The sequence below is a fragment of the Homo sapiens genome, chromosome 3 (genome assembly GCF_000001405.40).
Source record: "Homo sapiens chromosome 3, GRCh38.p14 Primary Assembly".
Taxonomy (NCBI): Eukaryota; Metazoa; Chordata; class Mammalia; order Primates; family Hominidae; genus Homo; species Homo sapiens.
In genome coordinates this window covers 179,082,861-179,084,103 of record NC_000003.12, presented here as the reverse complement: position 1 = coordinate 179,084,103, position 1,243 = coordinate 179,082,861, and positions in this window count along the sequence as shown.

Genomic DNA, 1,243 nt, shown 5'->3' with positions numbered 1-1,243 from the left:
ACACAAAGCAGGCTTTGACTGAATTTGTTAAATGAATGAATACATGAATGAGGTGATGGATTCCCCTAAAGTAATGGCCACTTTTTTGGACACCAATGAACCTTTCTCTATTCATATGTTTCTAGATGAAACTTCAACTGTAGACATGCCTCTATTACCTGTGGTTGTTGTTTCAAGCCCTTGTTTTGTTAAGCAGAGGGAGGGTGGGATTGCCTTGCTTGAAAAGAAAAACTAATTTGACAGTAAAGGCCAGAGTTATAACAAATCATAAAGAGTTCTATCAACTTCAAGTGCACTCTTTTTTCAAATGCAACTTGTAAGTCACCTTGACATTAAAGAACATCAGCACTGGTATGGACCTCTAGGACTTTGTCAGGCATAACTGTCATTCTTCAATAGTTTGGAAAATACTAAAGGGCAATGTGCCATTTTGTAGATTTTTTTTAAGCAGCTTACATTTAAACTTGAAGAAATCCTACATTTCTATCATCTGTATATATATATATATATAGAGAGAGAGAGAGAGAGAGAGATTCATAAAATGTTATATTTGTCTATGACTGAGATATAATCTAATCCAAATAATTTATTATGCAAATAAAGATGATGCCCAGAGCTATTGATTTATCCAAAATCATTTCAGAAATGAGTGGCATAATCAGTACATCTACCTAGGTTCCTGACACCTAGTTCAGTTTTTCCTTCCAGCACTTAAATGTCAGTCAGTATAGTTGTCACCAGCTGACCAATTGAAGTAGCTGGTACTTCACAGCAAGACCTGCTTCTCTGAGCTTGTCCCTCTGACCAGAGATGATGGATCCAGGCATGGACATCTGACCTACTCTTATTCAAGCAAATTCTGGGTCAAGGTTGTTAAGTTTGGAACAGAATGAGATTCGGTCTTTCCTGAGGGTGGAAGTCATGAGCTGAAAGCCTTGGGAACTCTGGGCACCCATGTTTCCTTCCTTGTGGGAGAACCAAGGCTGCAGTGAAGCAGAGTGAACTCTGTTTGCCCTAAGAAAGAAACAACTCCTAAAGAGCAAGAGAGACTCCAGGCAGCATCTGAGTCCTCACTTCCAGGTTCCCAGCTGCCTTCCCTATAGTAGGGCTACTAGAGAATCTCCAGGGTCTTTCCATTCCTTTGGACCAAATCAATTTGAGTGTGTTTCTGTCATTGTCACAAAAAACATACATATTGAATAACTAGAAGATTTATAGCAACATTCTAATCTCCCAAGGAAAG